The sequence below is a fragment of the Homo sapiens genome, chromosome 12 (genome assembly GCF_000001405.40).
Source record: "Homo sapiens chromosome 12, GRCh38.p14 Primary Assembly".
Lineage (NCBI taxonomy): Eukaryota > Metazoa > Chordata > Mammalia > Primates > Hominidae > Homo > Homo sapiens.
Genome location: NC_000012.12, coordinates 65358123 through 65385050, shown reverse-complemented (window position 1 = coordinate 65385050; position 26928 = coordinate 65358123). Strand labels below are relative to the sequence as shown.

At 36.3% G+C, this 26928-nt stretch overlaps 1 protein-coding gene and 1 long non-coding RNA gene across 9 annotated transcripts in view; both read right to left on the bottom strand.

Moving 5' to 3' along the window:
- The window catches only part of MSRB3 (methionine sulfoxide reductase B3), a 188225-nt gene that overhangs the window by 81857 nt on the left and 79440 nt on the right, over nucleotides 1-26928 (bottom strand). For all 8 annotated transcript variants that reach the window (NM_001193460.2, NM_001031679.3, NM_198080.4 and 5 more), the window contains one exon: nucleotides 16025-16053. In NM_001193460.2, the coding sequence (NP_001180389.1) occupies nucleotides 16025-16053 (29 nt within the window). The remainder of the gene's footprint in view (nucleotides 1-16024; nucleotides 16054-26928) is intronic.
- On the bottom strand, nucleotides 20461-26714 carry LOC124902954 (uncharacterized). Its single transcript, XR_007063350.1, has 2 exons — nucleotides 25349-26714; nucleotides 20461-20952 (listed from the first exon to the last, which is right to left on the bottom strand). It is a non-coding gene; the product is annotated as an uncharacterized LOC124902954 (long non-coding RNA).

The window sequence follows — 26928 nt, the reverse complement described above, 5'->3', positions numbered from 1 at the left end:
TAAAAAGACTTCCTCTAGGTAAATATGACAGAGATTGAATACACATCATTATCTTTGGATAAAAAAGACAGAGCCACTAGAATCAATGGGCAAAACTCCAACATTAATACTTATACATGCCACCTATTTATGCACTTAGAAAACATTTAGAGTTAAACTTTCTAAAATGGCCTGTTTCCAAATGATGAAGATCTGCCTAGCTGTAAGAATAAATTTTAAAAAATTACACACTGACTGAAGTGTTACCCTAATTGAAAACATAATCTTAGATCTTTTATGTTAAACCTAGTAAATATTAACACTTTAATGAATGTATTTAAGAATATCACAAAAGCTATATTTCAGTTAAAATTTGTTTTACATTTATGCTATTTTTGGCTAAAAAGAAGGCACAATTTGATAAGGTAAAACACGACTTCAAGAGGATTATGAATGATATATTTTTCCTATAATATTTTACTAGTTGTAAATTTTAGGGTAGAAACTTAAGATAGAGGTCATTAAAAACAGAATGTGAAAATATTTTAATCTTCTTCAGTCATTAATCATGTCATTTTTACCAGATTGCCCTGCTAAGTTATTTGAAACAGATTAAAACATTTTCTAAACCACAGCTTTCCTGTTTCTGATCATCCTATATAAAGCCATCCTGTTGACTCTTAGTAACAAATGTAGATAACAGATAAATATAGAAGCTTTCATCTTTTTGTTACATAGACTCATTACTTGTATGGTGACACATAATAGATATCAAAATTCATATGAATTGGGAAATATCTTTCGAAAAAATCATGCCAAAAGAGGAAAATTATTAAATCTACCAGTAAGAAGAATAAAATAGAAAAGGCAGTTCCTATCAATCTTTTTATAAAAGATATAATGTCCTTTGAATTTCTACAAAATAAATTAAAGTACTTTGAAAATGCATAAAATATTATTTCTTTAAAACTGGTTACAAAATAGGGATTACATTTAATCACATTTAAGAATATAATCTGTCTTTAAACATTTCCCTCAAAATATACAGCCATGTATAGTAAATAATAAAGCTGATTGTTATCGAGCAGCATATCTCTACATTTAAAATAATTCAGCCGGGGGCAGTGGCTCACGCCTGTAATCCCAACACTTTGGGAGGCCGAGGCGGGTGGATCACCTGAGTTCAGGAGTTCGAGACCAGCCTGGCCAACATGGCGAAACCCCATCTCTACAAAAATACAAAAATTAGTCGGGTGTGGGGGCACATGCCTATAATCCCAGCTACTTGGGAGCTGAGGCAGGAAAATCACTTGAACCAGGGAGGCGGAGGTTGGAGTGAGCCGAGATCATGCCACTGCACTCTAGCCCAGGCGACAGAGTGAGACTCCATCTCAAAAAAAAAAAAAAAAAATTCTACTAACAATGCATCTCTTTGTTCATTTATGTGATTTCCTACTTTAGATAAAAACATCCATTTATTGTTACCCATACCACCAAGAAATTTACAAATACTAAAATACTGTGAACAGTAAATAGCTGTTGAATCAACACTTAAATTAATGGCATAATTAAAGTGACACTGGGATCTGTGATTACTTTTTCCTTAGGTATGTGTAGGCATGCAAGCAAAAAATAATCAAAAGTCTCCCCTGGCCTTGTTAACTACAAAATAAACAGGCTTCAGAAAGAGGCAATCTTCTTTCATACTTATCACAATCATGAAAGACTACCCTACCATTAGTATATTTCTACACCAAGAGTTATTTCTGCTAGGCACTAAACTATTTTACAAATTTTACAGCTAGCTTGTTCAAGGCAATGCACAAAGCTCAATCAGAGTGTGTGATCAACAAACATTTGTGAAATTGAGCACGGGTAAATTAAAATTACAAATTCATGAAATCACATTCATTTTGACGTTAAAATTTCCTTTTTGATTTGTACATTTGATCATAAAAATTTATATCATTTTAATAAAAAATCATAATGTACATATAGTTCTATGAAGTTGCTTCCATATTTGACATAACTATATTTGCTAGTTATAAAATTCTTAAATTGCATAAAATGCATACTAATTTTGCAAAGAAAACTTTTGGAAAAAAATCATATTTCATCATAAATAAATTTAACCTGATTTTAAAACGTTTGGGAGGAAATTTTTATTCACATATATATCCATATATACACACATATATGCATGTATATATATACACGTGTGTGGTGGGGGTGTGTGTATAACATATATGCTGGAAATTATAGGCAATTCTAAGTTCTAGATATGTAGTATTCTTCTACAACCCTGAAAAAATAAAACCATATAGCTAGAAAAAATAAATATATTAGTACATTACTTAAAACAACAAAAAAAGCCCCAACAAATCTAATAAATCAGTAAAAGCCACATATCATCACAATATTTCAAGGGATACTGCTAACTAAACAGGTGGTCGTGATGAAAAAAAATTGAATAAATTCCTAAGTAGTATAATTGAAAAAGCAAATATGTAGATAAAAAGTGATATCAAACAAGCCACAAAATACAAGAAATTTAAACAAATTCCTAAAAAGATAATTCTACTGTATAAATTTAAATGAATTTTAATGCCACTTTCATTCACACTGTAAAAATGTATTTTACTATTACTATATAACAACACAGGGGAAAATAATTTTAATAGACTATTCTAACATAGAAATAAATTTAAATCTAAGAATAAAACTCCAAAGTCTATTTTTGATTGACTGGGGAGGACCTGAGGGTTACTATTTTTGGTAGAAAAACCACTGATAGGCCATAAAACTTGAATCTTTACATTGTTGTTTTGTGTTCCTATGTTCTGCCACAAAATATTTTTGTTGTCATTAAATTTTCTTGTCTCTTTTATCTCTCACCATCTACATATAGCCTTCCATCCACAATGTGAATCATTTAGATGCAAGGTAATATGGTAATATATAGACAGATTTTGTGAAGAAAGGGATGATATTTGTTAGCGTCAAATATTTCACATTGGTTGGAAATGGCAAAACATTATTCTATATGTCATTCATTCACTTATGACTTATTCAATAAACATTATTACATGCTATTGTGTGAAAATATAATGTCAATTATACATCTTAAATATATATCAATTAAGTATGTCTTTAATATTAACAAAAACAAAAGTACAAGTATAATAGAAGTTTACTAATTTGCAACATCGAATACAATATAGGCCATATGGCTATTTAAGTTCTTAATTAAGGAATAATACTTGAATATCTAAAACATAGATATTCAAAATTCACTAAGACTAGCAATCATTAAGCAAAAATTTACTTTAAATGTGTTAATTTTTTACTCCTATCCTGGGAAATTAATGAAAAATCAAAAGAACCTCTTATAAAATGTTCTTAGGATAGTTCTATAACACAAAAGACTCGAAGAAAAATTTATCAAGACATAAGAACTAAAAAGTCATTATCATTTTAAAGGATTTTTACTAGAATATTTTGATACTATAAGCAAATAACTGATAGTTTTGCTACATTTGTACATGTTCCTTAATAAATAAAATACTTTCATACTGGAGCAAGATGTTAAAAATCTTAAGCCTGCAACCAAGTAATGTGCTATAGCAAAATTTTCTACACATTGCAGTTGAATGTAGCTTATTTCTGCCCAGGAATGAGCAAGATATCTCAATTATAATGAATAGCCAAACAATCCTTGTTCTGCTGCCCAAAGAAGGTGACCATGATCATCGATTCATTCCAATTTATAAATATCTATCAGTACAAGGTAAGTACTTTCACCTCCTGTCAAAACCATAGTAAACTGTATTAATTGTATTATGTTAATTTTGATCTATGTTAAAAATAAAGCCTTAGTCTAAAACAAATTATTATAAATTCTCTAGAACCAGTTAACTCTTCCTTATCATTTCTTTGCAACAAATCCTTCATGAATATCTTTCTCAGCAGGAAATTTAATGCTGGGGGAATAAATGCATGTTATTTTAATTAAAATTCTTACAGTACCTTCAAAATCTATTTCTCAACAGACTACTGAATCCGAGTAACTACTTGGAGGGGGAGAAAATTTCTGCAACTACATGTGACTGTGTGAGCAAGTATGTCATGTGGGAATAGGGTGTATGACTAAAAAAGCATAAAACATTGTTTTCATCCCATCAACTCATATTATAGGTTTTTATACTGCATATTGGTTAAGACTCTCGAATCGGACTACTTAGGATCAAATCCCAGTTCTGTCACTTACTAGCTATGTGACCTTGGGCAAATATCTAAACTTCCTGTGCTTTGGTCTATTCATTTATAAGATGGGAATAATAATGTATGGTCTATGCAAATTAGATGAGTTAATAAATATTAAACACTTAGTACAGAGCATATTACATATTAGGCAGAAAATCAATTTTGTAATTGTTTTGCTGTCATTGTCGTTATTATTATTGGCCACAGAGTTAAGTACCAATTCTTTTTCTTTTTGAGACAAGGTCTCACTCTGTCACCTAGGCTGGAGTACAGTGGTGCGATCTTGGCTCACTGCAGCCTCCACCTCCCGGGTTCAAGCAATTCTCCACCTCAGCTTCCCAAGTAGCTGGGATTACAGGGGTGCACCACCACACCTGGTTAATTTTTGCATTTTTAGTAGAGATGGGTTTTCACCATGTTGGCCAGGCTGTTTCGAACTCCTGTACCTCAAGTGATCCAACTGCCTTGGCCAAGCCTGTGGTTTCTAATAGACTCCCAACTATATCAGGACCCCCCAACAAAAATACTCCAGTTCTGGCAAGTTGGTTTACTTACTGTTCCTCAAATACATTTAGCAATTACGTCTCTGTGCCTGACCTTAAGGGGCCCTCTATTTAAAATTATCTTCCTCTTTATTTATATCTATCCATATTCTACCCTTGATTATTTCAGTTCTACCTCCACCGTGCAACTGCCCCAATCAATCACCATACTCTAAAGTAATTCATGTCTTCTAAATTCTTTTAGGACTCCATTGCTGAAACCATTCAAATTACCCTGAACCTACAGATATCTTCATATGTATATATCTCATCTCTTTAATTAGATTATAAGCTCCACAAATGTAGAAACTGTCTCATACTCATATGTCCTTCGCCATGTCTTAAATAGAGTAAGTGCTCTACATGCACATGCAAATTGACTGACTGATCATGACTGATCACTGAGTCAAAGTAAAAATGCCTACACACTGGTTCAATATATTAATAGCAGTCTTCTGGACCTGAGAATATTAGAAACCAAGACTGCTCAGTAAACACAACTGCATCAATGGTAGCCAAACTTGGAGCAAAATATACTTCCCAATTTATACTACTCAGCTATAACTATTGATAACGTACAAATAACATGAATAAATCTCAAAAACATGATATGGAGCAAAAGCCACCATATAAAAAAGAGTATATACCATATAATTCTATTTTATATGAAATTCAAGAACAGGGAACTTTAATCTGTGGTGACTGAAGTCAGAAGAGTGGTTACCTCTGATGAGTGGGGACTGACTGAAGAAAGTTATAAGGGAACATAATAGGTGGAAATGTTCTATATTTTGATCTATATACTGACCTTGTTCTACACGTTAATTTAAGTATACTGACATGATTTGTTAAACCACTAAAATTTTAATATTTATTTCAATAAGGTAGGAAACATTTAAACTGTAAATTGTCAGCTCTACAATCGCTTCCAAGGTCTGCTCTGTGAATTTGGAAACAAGGTCTTAGGCAATGAATTTGCAGTATATTGTCCAGGTCCAACAGCAAGGCTATCTTTTATATAGATGGATGGGTAGATGGTGGATGGGTAGATGGATGGATGGATGGATGGATGGATGGATGGATGGATGGATGGATGGAAGGATGGTTGAATGAAGTTGTGGCCAATTAAATTTAAGTCATAAGAGGTCTCACTAGCCAGGACCATCCCTATTTGGAGATAGATAATTGTTAACTTGAACTCATAAAACTAAACATTCAATTTGTTTTCTTTGTTCTTAGTCTGTACTCAACAGCAATCCTCCATTTTGATTCGACTTCTCAAAGATATCTAGCTTTAGGCTGATATATGTTACAGTAAGGAAATTTCAGTCATTAATGATTTATGTTGGTAAACTGATCAAGTGAATTTTTCTTGCGATTTTGTGTCTCATATAGCTGGATTACTTACAAAAAAAGAAGACACTGATCATGCAGATGTAAGTATTCTCACTCATGTGAAAATTACATTTCTCATTATAAAGAAATACATAGCATTCTGGCTTCATCCATCAGTCTTCTGGGTTTGTCCATGTGAGCCCATCCCTGAGAGATAGTGAAACATCTAGGTTTCTGAGCCTGAAAGTTAATAGCCAGATACTAGACACAAAAAATTCACCAAGGCCATTAACGCTACTTTTTGTGTGTGGCCAGCAACCTTTTTAATGGCCTACTAATGGCCACATCGCAACCATATACAAACCTGTATGTACTACATTTTATATTTTCAAGGTGTTTTATAATCATATCATTATGTGCTTGCATAGTTGGGCTTGCCCTCTTATCTTCTACCATCATTGACAAGTGTGGAACAGACCTGGACCCAACCTGCAACTAGCATGTGCCAGCCAACACCCAACCAACCCATAGACATGTAAGCATGAATAAATGATTATTGTTTCAAATCACCACTTTTTGAGGTGACCTATTATACTGCATTATTGTGATAATATGTAGCTGATAGGCTTGATGACTATATAGAACATAGTATTCTATTTTTGTATGATCCTTGGTTTAAAGGATCATCTTCAGGTTAGATAATGTAATTCCTGGCCACTCATTCAATCATTTATCCAAAAACTATCCAGGGATATTTGCCACTAGATAATAATTACAGGCAAATAACTTTTTGCCAAGGACTAGTCTAAGCACTGGGCTAGTCAACGTAAGTAACACTAGCTGCTATAATAAGTGATAGAAAAATCTTAGTGGCTTATCATAAAAAAATTATTTCATAATATATGAAGTCCAATGAAGATATTCTAGGATGAATGGCTCTCCTGCGTGGATCTCCTCCAAGTATGATGTATGGATCCAAACTCCTTCCACACTGTGATGGCATCATGTTCAACATGTAACTATGAGTTAACCTCAGAAGAGGAAAAGTGATATAAGGAAAGCATATTGGCTACTTAATCCCCTTAACCTAAAAATGACATACATTCTACTGCAAAAATTAGTTACATGTCTCCACATAGATGCAAAGGGCCTGGAAATTGTCAACTCTGGCCCTGTAGCCACTTCCCAGCAGCAACCCAACACTATAAAAGGGGAGAATAAATCTTCCATCATTAGTTATGTATTTCTATTACTATTAAAGAACAAAAATTTCCAACTTCATGGAACTTTTATTTATTGAGTAATTATCTCATATAAGACATCAAGACTATAGACCAGGCGCTGTGGCTTATGCCTGTAATCCCAGCAATTTGGGAGGCCGAGGCAGATGGATACCTTGAGATAAGGAGTTTGAGACCAGCCTGGCCAAAGTGGTGAAACCCCATCTCTACTGAAAATACAAAAATTAGCCAGGCATGGTTGCAGAAGGGCGGGGGACGGAGGAGGGGGCAGGGCGCCTGTAATCCCAGCTATTGGGGAGGCTGAGGCAGGAGAATCGCTTGATCCCAGGAGGCAGGGAGCCAAGATTGTGCCACTGTACTCCAGCCTGGGCAACAGAGCAAGACTCTGTCTCAAAAAAATAAAAAATGATATCAAGGCTATAAAGGAAAATGAGACATGGTTCTTGCCTTTAAGAAATTCACAGACTTGGAGAGAGAGAAAAGATCCACACAAATAACTACTGCAGATGATAAGTGCTACAAGAGTCAGCATTTGCACAAAGAAACAGATGGCTGACTGCTGGGAAGGTGTCAAGGAAGGCTACATTTAATTGATATAGTAATGTTTGAGGTGAGCATTAAAAGGTAAATAGAACCTTGCCAACAAGATGGAGTAGTCGGGGGACGATCTTAAGTGGAGAAAACAAACATTTGAATCATATAAAGTCTCAGAGCCTCTTTCCTTATAAAGCTATGAGATATGAGGGAGGAGGAGAGCACTTGTATTTACAGGTGGTAATTGCAGCAACTTCTTGCTTCACATATGAGTTTGGAATAATATGTTTCCTCTTTGCAGCAGCCTTCATTTCTTTCTTTCTTTTATATATATTTTAAGTTCTTGGATAAATGTGCAGAACATGCAGGTTTGTTACATAGGTATACACGTGCTATGGTGATTTGCTGCACCTATCAACCCGTCATCTACATTAGGTATTTCTCCTAATGCTATCCCTCCCCTATCCCCCCACCCCCTGACGGGCCCCTGTGTGTGATGTTCCCCTCCCTGTGTCCATGTGTTCTCATTGTTCACCTCCCACTTATGAGTGAGAACATGCAGTGTTTGGTTTTCTGTTCCTGTGTTAGTTTAGCAGCCTTCATTTCTATGAGCATTGCTTTGCAGTAATGTTCTCTACAAGGAGACAAGTGTAACGCATGTCCCAAGTAAATTGGCTGCCACCAGACTTATGGAGTATGTGGAGCTGACAACACAGGGATGGTAATATCTAAAGAAGCAGAATTCAGGTAAAATAAAAAATGACAATCCCAGCACTTTGGGAGGCCGAGGCGGGCGGATCACGAGGTCAGGAGATAGAGGCCATCCTGGCTAACACGGTGAAACCCCGTCTCTACTAAAAATACAAAAAATTAGCCGGGCGCAGTGGTGGGCGCCTGTAGTCCCAGCTACTCGGGAGGCTGAGGCAGGAGAATGGCGTGAACCCAGGAGGCGGAGCTTGCAGTGAGCCGAGACGGCGCCACTGCACTCTGGCCTGGGCGAAAGAGCGAGACTCCGTCTCAAAAAAAAAAAAAAAAAAATTACAAACTCATTCCTTTCACTGTCCTTGTCAGATAAAATAAAAACCAAATAAATAATGATACAAAGGATTAATTATCATGAATCAGGTTGTCTAATAAATGTCCACTGAAGCCTTTACATTGCAGAGAATGTAGTTTTCCAACAAAAAAGCCACAAAAATTAAATACATGGGAGGCCAAAAAAAAAACTTTAATAAGTACTGAATAATAGACTTTCTAAAAAGTAGTAAGGCCAAATTCTTTGACTACCAAACAATAAAACTGAAAAACATTAATAAAAGTAGAAGGTAGAAAATTTGGAAATTTAAAAAAAAAAAGCTTCCTAAGTAACTATCATGTCCAAAAGAAAATCAAAACTGCATTTATTTAAAATACAATATTGGGCTGGGCACAGTGGCTCATGCCTAATTCTAGTGCTGTGGAAGACTGAGGCAGGAGGATTGCTTGAAGCCAGGAGTTTGAGACTAGCCTGGGCAACATGGCAAGATCCAGTCTCTACAAAAATGTTTTTTAAATTGGCCCGGCATGGTGGTGTGCACCTGTATTCCCTGCTATTTGGGAGACTGAGGCAGGAGGTCACTTGAGCCCAGGAGTTCAAGGTTATGGTGAGCTATGATCGTGCCACAGCACTCCAGCCTGGGCAATAGAGACCCTGCCTCTAAAAAAATAATAAAAATAAATAAAATATTAAAACTCTAGGACTCAACTAAAGCTCCAATGAAGGAAATTCATAGCTTTTAAATGCTCCAGTTCTAAGAAAAAATACAAAATGTAAGTATGTGACATAAGGGTACATATGAAATCTGAGAAAATCAATAGAAAATTATTCGAAAGAGAGACTTACATCTATCTGACCCAAACCTCAGCACTTAGCCACTATGCCTTGCTGTTTCCTGGTCAAGTTAGTTTAGAAAACGGGATGAAGAGCCGTGTCCCCTCTACTTGATTCTATTCAATCAAGAAAGATTGATATAGGCCGGGCGCGGTGGCTCACGCCTGTAATCCCAGCACTTCGGGAGGCCGAGGCGAGCTGATCACGAGGTCAGGAGATCTGACTAACACGGTGAAACCCCGTCTCTACTAAAAATACAAAAAAAAAAAAAAAGCCAGGCGTGGTGGCGGGTGCCTGTAGTCCCGGCTACTCGAGAGGCTGAAGCAGGAGAATGGCGTAAACCTGGGAGGCGGAGCTTGCATTGAGCCGAGATCGCGCCACTGCACTCCAGCCTGGGCGACAGAGCAAGACTCCGTCTCAAAAAAGAAAGAAAGAAAGATTGCTATAGAGAAGGTTGCCTGATTTTTCAGGCTAATCTTGAATAGGATCCTGTAAAAGAAATAAACAAAAACAAAGAATAGAACGGTATTCACAAATATTTGTCAGTGTGTTCTCATCTAAGTTGATTTTTTAAAGATGATAATCAAATGGAAAATGTCACTCCTTATTGAAAACGCTAGAAAAATTACACCCTAACCATTAGCATTATTAGGCTGTTCTCTTAAAAGTCTGTGGAAAACAGCATGATATCGCTTGAATACAGTAAAGAAAGGTGAATTTGTCTAAATCTAAAATAAATTGGCTTATGTTTAAATATCAAGAGGTCTTTGACTCACCATTTAGATTTAAGTTTTAGTCTTGTTAGGCCTCCTCAGTTAAGTATGCAGGTAAGTTCATGTGAATTTGTATAATGGACCATGGACCAACCAACCAGCATAAGATTCCATGACAGAAGGAATTGTATCCACCCTGTTCACAGCTATAACCTCAACATCTGGCATATGGTATGCCCAGTAAATATATGATGAATGAATGAATAGATGAATAGTCAATATTTTTCTTATTTCTGCTGATAAATGATGCCCAAATGCAGATTTCAATATTCTTATATAAATATTTATATTTTATTTCCTTGTTCTTCAATGTTATGAGTTTAAAATAAGAAATTTAAAATGAAGAAATTAAACTGTATGGCTAAAAACTATTGTCAACATATTCTCATGCTAACAAGAACTGAAAATATTTTCCTTATTAATAGTTCTTGAGGAAAGTTTACTATGTTAGGCAAATTCTCTCATTTGTTAATAAGCTTTCAAAACTCTATTTCTACTACATTCAAATTCCTCATTTCCCTTCAACTTAGTGACTACCTTAACAGCCCCACTCTATTTTTCCCTGCCCTTATGTTTTTGCCTCAAGCTTTAACTGATTGTGTTCTTTGATTTCCTTACCCTGGTGTAGATTCCTTTTTAACTACAGATCCTAAAAGCGACACTAGCTGCTTTTTGTTCCTTGGATTCCGCCCTCCCTCCTTCAGCATAATTATATTCTGTTGTGCCTTTTATAATCATGTCTTTTAGGATCTCCTAACCTTCTACACTCTCGGCTTTATTTAATAGTGAGCTCCCTCCTCAACTCCGCACACTAAACCATGCTCATTAGGTTTCTTAATCCTCCATAATTCGCTTTCATGAAATCTTATACCTTTGAGTTGCTGTGTTCTATGAGCCCATTTCCTTAGTATAGCTATTCCAAGCAGCCCAGAATCAACAAGCACTAAACATAAGCTTATTCACTTTCTCAGCCAACATGACTCTATAGAAAAAAAAAATCTTTGTTTTGAATGTTTATGGACCATGAATCTATACCATTTAACTTGGTACTTCATTTTCTCACCCAAACATTGCCTGATAAGGTTGGGACCACAGAATTACGGTACAAGCTGTCCTTCACATCCAGTTATTAACTTATAAATAAGTTAATAAGTTAAGGTTAACTTATAAATAAGATTCTTCTTGGTCAGAAAGCTATTCTACTTTATTGGAACAGAAATAACAATATCCTGATGTTATATTAGTGACTAGTAAATTCCACCTATATCCTTATACCCAGAATTCAGAAGAGAAAAACATCTTTTTTCAGTTATTTTGCAAGAGCTCTGCTTTTCCAAATGGCTTGTGTTTGAGAGACGTGCATGTTCTTGAAATTTGGCGACAGAGCCAACTCCTGGTCTTTTCACCCTCATCCTTCACTTTTTCTTCCATCCTACTCATTACTAGTCCATTACTCTTTGCCAATGGATATGTACAGAGGGCCAAGAGAACAAATATTTTGGATTTTTTAAAAACTTCCCAGAGACTTTGGTTTTTGAAAGTATAGTTAGCAGTGGATTGAAAGAGTTAATGAAATTTCCAAAGGTGCCTAGCTTATTTAAGCAAAGTTTATACTTCAATCCTGTGCATGTTAACTTGTGATCCTCCCCATCCAGATGATAGAAAGCAAAGCCAGTAAGTTCTTTTATTTAATTGGTTTGCATCCACACACTGACCTCCAGGGCTCTGTTTATATAGCCTATCATGCAATATGCTCCACAGTTCTCTGCCTCTTTCAAAAGCATGTTTCTCCTGAAATTTGATATATGGCTTTCATGTTTAATCACTACATTAAACTCAATGCTCTGCTTCCTCCAGCATCAACTAACTTCCCTTCTTGGGAGGTGGGGAGAAGAGTATAGCTTCTTGCTACTTCTGAACATAAAAGGAAGTCTGTTTTACTCTATTAGTAAAATCACCAACTCCACACAATCCTAGGCAAGCCAACATTAGTACATCAACTAGGAAAAGGTATAAAATGGAAACCTTAAAACTCCTTTTAAAAAGAAGGTAAGCTGACTGTTCTCAATTGGCAAAGCCAAAAACTTTAGGTGATTGAGTTATAAATCAACAGAAAAGGTTTTTAGTCAGTATATTACTCAGTACACAGAGACCACAGCTAAATGGCAGCTGACATTTTAACTAATTTTGAGAATAGAAAATTTCTGGAGTTCTCAGGTCAGAATTAATTCAGGGCCTCTGCCTTCTGGTTGAAGGTTTTCTTAATTATACAATTCACCACAAATAGGACTTTCAAAGAGTTTTCAACTGGATGTGGACATGAAAATGCCACGATCCTTTACACAATGACGTGTATGTCACTCAAATTTCTAAAATAGATGAAAACCTCAAAACTTTAACGCCTTTTAATAAGTCAAGACCATCTATAATTTCTGGATTGTAAAAATCACATGAAATGTATGTATTTTGCTTTAAAATATTTCAAGCAAAAAAAGGTAAAACAAATTCGGCAAATAATTAACAAAAGTAACATTTAGAGGATGACTATATGGGTGCTAATCACACTATACTTTCTACTTTTATACATGGTTGAAATTTTTTGATTATAAAAAATTGTTAATTTAAAAAGCACAGGAGGTTGAGGATTTGCTTTTGTAAAAAAAAAGAAAGATGCAATTCTGATCAGAAAAAATTTAAATCAATTTCTAGGATAATCATTTGGTATACATTCAACAAATGAAACTTTTTACCATGTGCTGGCAATGAAAACTTTCCTTCCTTTCTCATGAATCTCACTCCACAGGCTAAAACTCATTTACCTAAACTAAAAATGTTGTGCGGTAAGCTCTGCATAAAGTTGGGTACTTTCCTTGATATACTTTGTGTGTGTGTGGTGGGGGTGTGGGTGTGTGAGTACACACACACACACACACACACACATAAAATTTAACTTTGAAATCCTTTCCGTTATGGCTGGTCACTGACCATAGTATTTATTTTTTATGGTTTTGTTTTTCCTAGTAAGATTGGCATATTCCTTCATTTAAAAATCTTGCTTTGTCAGAGCTGTATACAACATTAGACAGACCTAGTTTACTTTCTGTATTTGATGCACAATAGAGAATCTGAACCTATTTAATTGTTCCAATATGCTACCTTATTTCCTTTTTTTTTTTTTTTTTTTTGAGATGGAGTCTCGCTCTTGTCGCCCAGGCTGGAGTGCAGTGGCAGAATTTCGGCTCACTGCAACCTCTGCCTCCTGGATTCAAGTGATTCTCCTGCCTCAGCCTCCTGAGTAGTTGGGACTACAGGCATGTGCCACCACGCCCAGCTAATTATTTTGTATTTTTAGTAGAGATGGGGTTTCACCATGTTAGCCAGGATGGTCTCGATCTCCTGACCTTGCGATCTGCCTGCCTCTGCCTCCCAAAGTGCTGGGATTACAGGCATGGGCCACTGTGCCCGGCCCTATGCTACCTTATTTCTAACCAAAATTTTCATGATATAGGATGCCAAAGAATACATTTCTAGCTTCCTTTGTCATGATTCTTTCAGTCATAAGCTAAAAGGAGCTTATAAGAAAAAATAATTCCGTTTCTTAATTTGAAAACATCTGAATTCTTTCCACAACATATTTAAGTTTAATATTAAAAGAACAAATAAACTTTTAATCAGTATTCCCCTTTAAGACTTTTCAGAGTACAGAACTTTGTAGTTTTCAAAGACATGCAGATGTTGTCCATGATAGATTTTTTTTAAATAAGAACTTGAAAAAAAATAAGTCATGCATAAAATCTTTGGTCACAAGAGTGAAAGATGTGTGCCTGTACAGCTGTTATAACTATTTTCATGATAAATACTTACCTTCAGTACAGGAATTTAGCAGCACACTTTAATTTGGATTTGAAAAGTTAACATAAATTGTCTGACTTTGACAATAGCTGCCTAATATTTCAGTTTTGTAAACTACTTCCAGGTTCTACCTTCAATTCTACCTTCAAGATGAACCTAGTGGACGTATTCATTTTTAAAAGCTATATTCCAGACCCTGTACCCTAAAACCAGTTTCTGACTTGATGTTTAGGGAATTACATCAGATCATAATGAAGTGGGTTCTTAATTAATATTTGGTGACTGGCAGGGAAAAAAGAGACATGTAATTTTTAGGTAAAATTACACTCTCCATCAACTTTATTCATTTATTTTTAAATTATACTTAAAGATTTTAACTTAAAAAATGAAAAAGATTTTTCGTCTTATTTTGAGCCATTTGTGAATCAAGGAGTCAAACAGTTGACACAATGCCATCCCACCTTTAGTCTCTATATAGTCAGCGTTTTCAACCAAAAATGTTTATCTTATACTACCATTCATACATCTGATTCAGAGGCTGCAGAAGACACAGGATCCAAAGATTTCTGGAGTTACCAAACTAGGTAAATTTGTTAACTCAAATGTATAGACTTCATAGTTAATGAGTCTCACCAAATTCACAAAACCATACAATAAAAGAAAGAAAAGGCTTATAAAGAAGAAAAAGTGTGTTGTCTCCTTAACACTACTATCAAAAGGAATATATAGCACTTGTTCCTTTGTGAATATAATAAGTAAAAACATTTTTAAAGTTACCATATAGTGAAACTTGAACCAGAGTAAAAATGTTACTTGTAAATTCAACAAGTTATATATTTTTCTGTAAATTATTTTCTCCTGGAATTCAAAAATTAATGTTTATTTATCTGTTAACAGTCTACCAAAGGGCATACGTAATTCCTTTGTATGAAATATGAGGCAATTTTTGTGCTTTAATTGTAAATGCCATCAGAAACTTTGAAGCACATAAATCTCAGCAAGTGACATAATGACATAGTCAAACCTGAGAATTATATAGCTACATTTCATGCTTAATGAAAAGAAAATGTCTAAAGAGGCTGATATGCCACTGCTTGTGAGAATGTAAATTTTGTCTTAATAGATTCAAAATAATGGCTTAAGGTGACCTTCATTTTCTATCACCCATCTAGCAATAAAACTTTTTTAAGAGAAAACAAGCTAATAAACCATAGACAAATTTCTATTTCTATTGGCTTGAACTCTCTATAGTTTGCTGAATTAAATGCATCCATCTCCCACATTTGGTGACAACCTAAAGAGAATTTTCAAATCACTCAGGATGCTTTGTCCACTGAGAAAATAATAATCTACTTTGAGCAATTAGTATGTATAACCCCCACTTCTGCTTTTAAAATGAAACTCTGCAGATATAGGTCATGTAATGCTTATTGCAGAGCTATGAAGACTCCAAAGTGAACACCTCAAATTATGATTTGATGCAGTCAATAGCCCTGCTTTGAGGTGGGACTCACATTTTGGAAAGAAACCGCCTAGTCTGTTTAAAATCAAAATGGTTCTTGATCTGATGATTTACTCCTCAGAGAATAATGTAAATAAAATATATTCAGAAGAGCATTATTAATGTAAACATACCTGAACCGGAGTCAAATTTGGTTTCTGACCTGCAAAGAGAAAGAAAGTTTTTACAATATAAAAACTGTTTGTAAAAGAACAATTATTTCATGGGGGGGGGGGGTGTGGTTGGGAGGGGAGGTAATAGTTACATTTTTCAGTGTATATTTCTAAAATGTTAATATATATGTATTGTAATCATTTTATATGCATGCATTACCCTAGGCCCTCTAAATATGCAAATATCAATACAGATAGCACAATATGGAAAAGACATTAACTTTTTAAATTTGTTTTTGGGTGAAACAGGATACAATACGGTTTTTTAAAAGGCACCTGATCTTTACAGATTAACTTGTTTCAGTAAGATAATAAAGCAATACAAAACCAAATTCATAATTATTCTCTTTATTATTCAAGGTTTGAAATTATTCAACACGAAGTAACTTTTCACTAAGTTCTTAGCACACAGCAAATGAACCTAGTAACCCCATACATTTAATAAGAAGGAGAAAAAATTCTGAGCTCTTGTGGGAACATTATGTTTCAGATATTGGTTAATACTGGTTGTAAATTCAGAAGCCTTTGAAGCTCTCAGTTCGGCTGTGGGAAAACTTCTGTTAGGTAATTACTCTCAAGATGCTGCTGATGTGCTGTCAAGCAGAATTAACCCTATGACTAGGCCTATCTACACAAGCTACTATAAAACAGCATTGTCTATATCTAGCTCTCAAACCAATTAGTGGGCATGCTCCAGTCGGATTTATATCACACATCAACAATCAATAGTATATATGTTCACAGCTGCCACAGCAAGATACAAGAACCAACCAGCGGGAGTCCTGTTAAAAGGATGTTACATTGACAGACAAGACTTTTTTTTCCTGGAGAAATGTAGTTAACTAAGTGGGAAAGGAGATTTCTTTGAAATTATGCCAGGGTTCCAAAGCACTTTTGGAAGCGGTGGCTTTCTGTACCTAAATTAGCCTCAAGAAAAGTCATCAAAGGAGGAAAGGGAAGGATAAGCAAGAAGCTTCCTTGGTCATAAACATTCATTTTCTGAAGTCCTCCCAAACAAAGTTTCAGCTGATGCTTATAATTGTATGATTGTGTGTATGTGTGTGTGTGTATATGTATATGTAAAATATATACACATATATGTGTAATATGTAATACACACATATACATGTACACGTAAAATTGCATCCATGGTTACCAATCACCACTGCCGTAATCCTGGTGCACATTTTCCCTAAGTCCTGGCCCTACCATAGTCCTCATCTCAACCTTTGTCTTCCATGTCCCTGCCTTCTATTTCAGGTACAAACCCATTTTCACATTTTGCCCTCTCTCCAATTCTGCAAAGCCTTGTCTCATGCCCTCCCCTGTGTTTCCACCATCTCTTAGCACAACTCTAACAACACTTGCCACATGTTATCTTGCTGGTTTCCTTATCTATCTCCCCCACTCAACTATAGCCATGCCTTATTAACCTCTGTAGCCACAACACCTAAATTGTGACTAGAGTTTGTGTTCAAATGTCTGTTAAGAGAATTTTTTGCATCTATGCATGCCCTTTCTCCTTCTTAACTGTATAGAAGCCAGAGGTGTTCTTCCTTCTGCTTAAGCTTCCCTCCTCCTGGGTCCTAAAATGCATCTCTCATCTCCTTTGAAACAAGGCTATATCAATTACTCCTTTTCTCTGCCATATATTCAGTATCTGGTTCTCCACAGGTTCCTCTTCCCTTCATCATATAAGTGCTCCAGAATTGTTTTTAAAGGCCTCCTTCAAATCTGTGCCTTGCTTTGTTATCCCTCTTTCATCTGGCTTTACAATCAAATTATAATGTAAAAAAGATGTATAGACTATATCCTATATCATCTATCTCCCTTTCCTAATCTCCCAACATATTCGGTCCTTGAATCAGTGCAATCTGCCTTTGCTAAGGTTTATCAGAAGCTTCCCAATGTTAAATGCACAAGCCGTGTCACTGTCCATACTTTACTAAACCTCTCTCTTTCATTGGACATACTGCCCACTTCTTTCCAGTGTCTGTCTGTCACTTCCCCTCCTCCTCCTGTCCCTTAAGTATTGGTGAGCACCAGAGTTCAGCCCTCAGGCCACCTGAAACACTGTTCCCACTCTCTAGGGTACCCATGTGTCTCAAAATCACCGCAGGAGTTTGCTCACCTGCAGACTCCCAGGACTTCTCCTGGTGATTCTGATTCAGTAAGTGGGGCCTAGAAATTCCCATCTTAACAAACTATCCAAATGAAAACACTTCTTTGACCATATCTTGACCCATATTTCCAAATAATAAACAAAATACTACCTGAATGTCACACTGTGGCCTTAAATGGCACTCATCAAAAATGATGGCATTATTCTAGATTTCTTCTGCACCCCCAATATCTAATTAGTCATCAAGATCTGCGGATTCTACATCCCTCCCCTCCTCTCTATCTTCACTTTCACCATCTTTAGGCCTTTCCTTGGCTGAATAACCTCATAACCAATGTTCTCCTTCCCTTTAGATCCACCAATGATGAGCAAGAAGCTTTTGCTCTGGCCTTCCTCTGCCTGTGCTGTTTTCCACCAGCCAGGAAGTTCTCTTTTCCACCTGAATCTCTGACTACCAGCATCACCATCATTCTCTACCCAAATGGCCTTAAGTTGCTACTCTGACCTACATGGGCCCCTTCTTCAGGTCAGGTAGTACTACTAGCATGTGTGTACCTCCAGTCCAAGGAGTGGCCAAAAGTTGTCAGCTGAATGAAAGAGCCTGGACCTGAGGGCTGGAGGGACCCCTTGGCCCTAAAAGATGGGAAAAAGGTGTGGCATAGAAAGCAGGGGCCCCCTGTCTCAATACTTCTTCACATTCCTGCTCAGAGAACTCTTAATGCAAACCCTCCTGTGAGGGTGAGTGGCTGAGAGCACCTGGGGGCCAGAGGTTGCCCTTGGACTGGATTGTCATGGACTAGATCACTTTGGAACTCGATGCCTGGCTGTTGGGTATAGAAGGAGCAATGGGTGGGGGCCCAGAGCCTCTGGCAGAAATGAAAGCACCCCTCCCCCAAAAAAGAGCAAGAGAAAGGAGGTATTTATCTACAGATTCCATGGCCATTGGAAGAGAAGGCTGAGTGAGCCTTTCCCTCCTCTCCCCCAGCTTGGCCCAGTTACCACTGTCCTGGCATTTCCTCAGGGTAAATTCATAGTCTTTTGGTGGAAGACAAAATTAATTTTAAATTTGCATTACTCTCAGTCATTTGGTATCATTTTTCATTATAAGGTGTATGTGTCAAGATAGGTTGGTATATCCTTTTCTAACAGTTTTTTGCCTTGAGTTTTAACTATTTAGCTATACAGTATGTATCTATGCTACCATTTGTCCTCTTGCCCAGGCCCTGCAAATGTTAGGTCCAGGCCTAGTAATAAGTCACCATGTAAAAACATATGCATTACTATGGGTTGTGGACAAAAAGGTTTGAAAGCCACTGACCTGGCGACATTAAGTGCCCACTCCTCTGCATGGCGTATAAAGGGTCCTCCATGATCCAGCTCTCCAATCCATCTCTAACTCACACTTTGCATGTATCACTCCCATCAAATGGAACTATTGCCATATTATTTCTCAACAATCAAGGCTCACGTGAATCATGTCAGCATCCCGCCTGCCCCCATTGCCTCACAAGCTCCTTTCTTCCCCCTCAGTTACCCCACAGTGGGGGCCTGGCACAACACTCCCCACATGGTGTGGCATTGACACGAAGCTGAGTGAGGTGCACACTGGGTCTCATGCATCCTCATGCTCCCAACACTGAATGCAGCACCTGAGACTTAAGAATTATTAAAAAGGTGTAGTATAAATTAACACACGAACAAATGAATCTGTATATTAACAGAAGGCCAAAAACAAGATAAATGATCAAAATGTCTATAGAATACCTAATTCTGAGATACAAAAAAAAAAATCATGTCAGAACACTTTTATTCCTCAGATTATCTTATCTTCTCCAGGGATAGCTGATCAATACATAAAATATACACGTAAGGTGCAGAGAAAACATCTTCACAAACCAATTAATGGCCTTGGGTATCAATTTAAAAAAATCTGCAGAATTCTCAGATACAGTACTGAACACTCAAAAGAATACAGCTACTCTATTGATAATTAAAACATGATAATAGAAGTTAAAACTGTCAATTTGGGGATAGGGAAAACTGGTCCTTTGTTGTTTTAAGTTAATTCAGATTCCTATTAGATTTTACATACAGACTTAAACACACAGAGATACAAAGTACTCCTCTAACATACTATGAACTATGATCACCTCGACTCTTAAATCCCCTTTGAGAAGGGAAGTGAAATATGGATAAGGATGAATATACGGCAAATGTAAAAAGAAAGATACATATCTAATAAGGATTGCACAAGAAAAGAAAAGAAGGATGGTCATTCATTCCAAACATATTTTTACGTGTTTATTTTTAGTAGTATACTATGCTAGATGGTAGGGATACAAAATTGCATAAAATAGGGTATAACATGCATAAATATAATTGTGTCTCCACAGACACCCATTTTACCCCAAATTATATACTCACATCTAAGTTCAAAACTATTCAACCGTTTCTTTTGGCAACTGCCAAAAGATGGTGATTATAGCACAGAATGTTACTGCCTTCCAATATTCATCCTCCCCCTTTTAATTTTAGAAAATCTCTGAGTTTTAAGTGGGCACACAGACATATTTCCACATTATTTCCCAACTGCCTTGTTGCTAGTTGTACCCATATGACTAAGTTCTTGCCAAAAGGATACAAGCAAAAGTGAGGTGATAACATCTGAGTTATTCCCTTATAGGGAAGGAATGTACCCTTCCCTTCTTTCTGTTTCTTGCCACTGGCTGGAATGTGAATGTAATTCCAGGAGCTGAAGTAGCCATTCCTAGATCATGAGGGAAAAACTGATATTAGAATAGTAAATCAATAAGATAGAAGGCACCTATGCAACTGCCATATGAATCTCCAACTGTTATTTTGTTTTTTGTGTTTGTTTGTTTGTGTGTTTTTAAGACAGAATCTCACTCTGTTGCCCAGGAACATGTTATGAGCTCAATGCAACCTCCACCTCCCGGGTTCAAGCAATTCTCCTGCCTCAGCCTCCCAAGTAGCTGGGATTACAGACATGTGCCATCACACCCAGCTAATTTTTCTATTTTTAGTAGAGACGGGGTTTCACCATGTTGGCCAGGCTGGTCTTGAACTCCTGACCTCAAGTGATCCGCCTGTCTCATCCTCCCAAAGTGCTAGGATTACAGGTGTGAGCCACCACGCCCGGCCCCAAGCTGTTATTTTTTTTTAAGCCACTATTATTTTGGAGTCTTGTCAGAACAGTTGAGCCTGTATCCTATCCACCATAGCAATATTGCCACATTTTACAAGATTTAAATAAAAACTTCCAAATTTTTAAACATGAAAATGAAATTTTCATGAATTGTAAGCCAGAAAGGGTAGACACTAGGAGAATTCGAGTATCATGAATGCTTTTTAAATAATTAAATTATGTAATATATGCATTCTTTTGATAATAGAGTTGCAAATTTTCAAAAGAGGTCACTTTTAGTCATTGGTTACAGCTGTATACTCCTGGACAAATTTATAAAACTACCATTTTATCCTTGCAGAGAATAGCCCAGTGTCCACAAAAATTCTATGTGTATTGAAGCCAAAAGATATTTTATTTTATTGTCTCTCTGGGGAAACCCACAAAATCTCAGAGAACATTGTTTTTCATTTAATGTTCAACTGTATCAAAAATTTTAAAATGGGAATCATGTAAGTATCAAGTACAGAAATTAGCATTGCAGAAGGTGTCAGAGAAGTGAGGGTGCTGTTCTTAATGTTTTTAACTGATATCAACTAAAGATTCTAGCTGCAGGCAACTGTTAGAAGGAGCAGGGGTGACAGCCTGATTTTTGTCTGTAAGCGCATTATATATGGCAACTCTACAGCAAGAATTTTGTAAAACAATCCAAGTCAAATAATCTGCTCTGTTGTCCCTTCAACACATGGAAATTTTTCAGAAATTCCAGTATTTCAGCATCCTACTTGTAGACCTACAAGGTCTACCAATTTCTTCTACCCCTAGAAGTAACTCAAAGGCCTTCACCGACCAGTGACTAGTGAGAACAGCAGTGAATATTTATGTGCCCTTTCAATTTACATGAACACAATATGCTTCCTCTGCGTGGAATGCTTCCTCCTCCCTCCCCCACTCTACTATACCTTAACCCCTTTGCCTACCTAACTTCTGAAACTTTCTCCACATCTTAGCCTAATTATCAATTATTTGAAGAAGAGTGGGCAGGCTCGATTAAATCCCTTTCATTTCATAGCACCAGTCATTCCTTTGCACTCATCAGAGTTGTAATTGTACATTTGTGCATAATAGCTATTTGATCATACTAAAGGAGTTCAGTAATAGTGGCAGACACTATTAATTGCCTACCTAATAGCCTGTCTTAAAAACAGAATTCCCATTTTGAAGAGTGCTAAAAAATGTGCACTCCCCAGGGATGAATCACGATTGGACTAAGCCAATCATGGCAACCCTATTTGTTGTCAGTGACTGGTACAAGGAGAAGCACTTAATCCAGTCCTGAGCAGTGAGAGGAAAGGTAAAGTCTGCTGGTGATGCTTCTCAGAAAGGATTTTTCTGCATGAAAATGAGAGAGATGATTTAGGGAGAAGGCCCTTTTTCTATCTTTCCCTCTTTCCTGCCTTTGAAAATACCACATAAGGATATGCCACTTAGAACTGCTATAGCAATCTTGCAGCCCTGAGAGGGACACCAAGAGAATCACAGAAATCCCAGCCCACAACTCTGATATCATTTCTATTCCAAACCTGCCTTTCTCTAGAGTCCTCACTGAATTAGATAGTAGGGTCTGGCATTGCCAGTCCACTTTTACTTGGGTATTTCTATCCTTTTAACCCAACATATTAACTAAGCAGCAGTAGGTTATGAGTTAGCTATTCACTGTGTTTAAAACTTAGGCCTCTATGTTACATTTCGATAATAATGATTTAAATAAAAGGTGCCCATTAATTTTACGGTTAATTTTTTAAAAAACTGAAAAAAATAGAATTTTAAAACCCAGAAATTTAGAAATCAGGATAATCATGAGCAAAAGAACAGCAAGAATTCAGTCAAGCCACTTTGAAAACATGATACAATTACAACTATTATGACAAATCATGTGGTTTAACAAAATATAGTATTATACGTCTTTTAACTTTAATGTGAAAATGAGATTTATGGTTGTTTGGTTAAGATATATCACTAAATTAAATCACGCCAAAGTCTTAAGATTTGCCAATATCAAGAAGGAATAAATCATGTTCCAAGAAGAAGTCTAAATTCATTACAAAACATTAATATCTGGGAGAACAAATTGAGACATAAAAATGACTCAAAGAAACTAAAAGAGCAAAAGGTATATAAAAATATATTTAGAAGCTGTGGGCCACATTCATTTTTCCACAAATTGACCTCTGAGGAAGCAGGCTCTGTGTAGGCATCAGAGGTACACATCGTAAGCAAATAGGTCTATTTCTTGTCCATATTCACGTAACAGTTGTGGGAAAGGAGCCAACAGAGACAAACAGAACAAGCTAAGTCCCAGCTCTCCCACTTTCCACCCTATGCAACTTTAGAGAAGTCAATGACCATTTTGAGTCTTACCATCTATAAAACAGGTAACATATTCACCTTTAAAAACGTTTGTGTGGATTAAATGAGACGATACCATAAAGTACCTAGGTGGTCCTGACACATATTAGAAGTTGAGTAAAAGGTAGCTTTCATCGAAACAATGATGCTAAGTGAAGTTTACCTATGGCCACAAGTACAATTAGTAATATCATACTTGTGGTACAAGTACTAGTAAAGCTAAGTTTAAAAAAAAATAGCACTATATTATAAAAGAAAGAATTATTACTTTGGTTAAGATCTTATGTGAGGCGAAACTTTAATATGGATGCCAAAATTATGTAGGAAAAAAATAAGAGAATAGTAATAAAAATAGCTGAAGAAATTGGAAATGTTTAAGAGGGAAGGCTAATGGAAAATAACACAAATGACCTAATTATGCAATATGGAAAAGCAATCTTATTTGTTCTTAAAACACAAATAAAACATTCTCCCACTAAAATAGTGGCACAATGCACTTGAGTGCATAGTGCAGTAAGAATCAGAAGACCTGGATTCTAGGTCAGAAACCTGGACAAATCATTTAACTTGTGAACCCCATTCTTCTCATTAGTGAAATTAAGTTACTGAAGTGAGGCAATGTTGCCCCACACAAGCTATCCCATTAAAAAGGTAAATTACCTACTTTTTTTCCCTGCATTCCCAGGAATAAAGAAAGAGGAAAACAGAGAGAAGGGAACAGAGGAAAAAGTAAGTGTGAGGGGACGAAAAGGTGCATCTGTAGAACTCAAACCTACAGATAGAGAATGCTGAAAAAATAAATAATTTGTAAGGCCATTTTTGGCTCCCAGCTTCTACAATTCTTCCCTAGGCCTTGTTGATATTCACCTTCTCTGAATTCCTGTCTATGTGATTTATGTTTCCTCTAAAATAATGTAATTGTTTCTTGTGTATATTTATATCTCCACAGAGAATGAGGCTTTTTAAAGTCAAGGCCTTTTATCTACTGAGAATAAATTCACAATGCTAAGAAAATAACACTAAAGAGAACAGAGTATACCTTCATGTTATTGGATGAATTATGTTCCCCCAAAATTCGTATGTTGATATTTTAACCCCTAATATCTCAGAATGTGACTGTATTTGGAAAAAACATTTTTAAAGAGTTAATCAAGTTAAAATGTCATCCAGGGGGACCCTAATCCAATGTGACTAGTGACCTTATAAAAAGAGGAAATTAAGACAGACACACACAGAGACAAGGCCAGGGGAAGACACAGGGAGAAGATAACCATCTACAAGCCAACGAGAGACCTCAGAAGACATCAGACCTGGTGACATCTTGATCTTGGACTTCAACCCTCCAAAACTGTGAGACAATAAAATTCTGTCAAGTCTCCCAGTGTGTGATACTTTGTTATGGCAGTCCTGGCAAACTCATACATTTCACTTCTTCTACAGTCAGCCACTTAGCAACCCCAAACCTCCAATAAAAGCCAAAAACCTAGAAGTTAGCCAAATCAAACAAAACGTATACAGTTCTTCCACACTTTAACTCATTTTACAAAATGTGTTTTACTTCCCTACTCCTCATCACTATTTTCAAACATATTCTGCCAAAGTGCTTAACCTGAATTTTGGCCATTGGGCAGCTGCTTCTGCAAATTACTGGAGACCACCAGTAGCATACCAGAAGATTCTAATCAATGGGATCTTTGTCTCTTCATATCACTTTGTGACAATTTCCAATGCATTTATTTGCTTATGCATTTGTTTCTTGGTCTTGTCTTTCAAGATTGGTGTTGTGTACACACTTGCCATGTGTTCTCTGGGGGATGAAGCAGATTAGGGGTTAGTAAAATTTACTCTACCAGTTTTATACATAATATTTATTTTCTTATATTCCCTGGAAATTTTCATTTCTGCCTTAGGTTGTAATCAGGAATAGAATAATAGAAGTTATGGCTAGCGGGCTAGTTCTAGACACAATTACTGACAGACTCTAAAAGTTTAAAGCTGTAAAAATCTCAGACAAGAGCAATACAGAGTTGACTAGCACTTTGGACACTTCAATAGCCTCTGAGGACATAAATGTGGATGAGAAGATAAAGGAGGAGCATGCTTTTCACTTTACAGAACTCTCTAGAATTATTTAGAAGGCAAAGAGAGTCCTATGTAGCTCATTAGGGCCTAAACGCACCATTGTTATATAACTTATTATATATAATGGTAACTATAAGTTATAAAATTGATCATTACATTATTCCTTTTAGTAAGGAAGGTAATACTATTTAGACAATACTACATTAAAAATCATTAGTTAATAATTTGGGGGTTAAAATTAGGAAGAGGGGAGGGGGAAGAAGAAAGAAAAAAGGCAGGGTGACGGGAGGCCAATGCATCCAGGAAGGAATGAATGAGACAGAGAATGCTAAGAGATAAAATCATAGAAGCAGGTAAGGGTAGACCACAACTTTAAACACCATTGTAAGGAGTTGTGATTTTGAAAGATATAAGGATAACCCATCACAGGTTGCAATATAATTTAAATGTACTTAAATCTTCACCCTGTTATGTGGAGAATGAACTACAGGGGAAAAAGTCAAAGCAGAGAGGCCACCTACCATTCAGATTTTGGTTTCCAACACTACTCTCTAATAAAGAAAACCAGGACTCCTTGAAGAAATGGCTGATTCTAGGACTAGGGCAGGAAATATACAAGATAAACCTGGATCATCAAGAAGTGCCAAAAAGTAAGAGGCACTCAAAAACACAACAAAAAAAATACACCCCACATTGATGGGAATACATCAAAGGGACAAAGGAGCCAACTGAAAAAGCTCTCAATGGCCAAACCTGGAACAATATGAGCAACAAAAATAAATAAAGTAGTATTGATTATAATTCAAAGTATAAAATTAATATCCATGAGTCTATACTGATATAAATAAGTGATTGATTAAATAAAGAAAAGACTTGAGCCCAGGAGTTCAAGACCAGCCTGGGCAACATAGCGAGACCCCCTTCTCTATAAAAAAAAATAAAAAATTAGCTGGGCATGGTGCTGCACACTTGTAGTTCCAGGTACTCGGGGGGTTGAGGTGGAAGGATCACTATAGCCCATGAGTTTGAGGCTGCAGTGAGCTATGATCATGCCATTGTACTCTAGTCTGAGTGACAGAGTAATACCCTGCCTCTAAAAAATGAAAA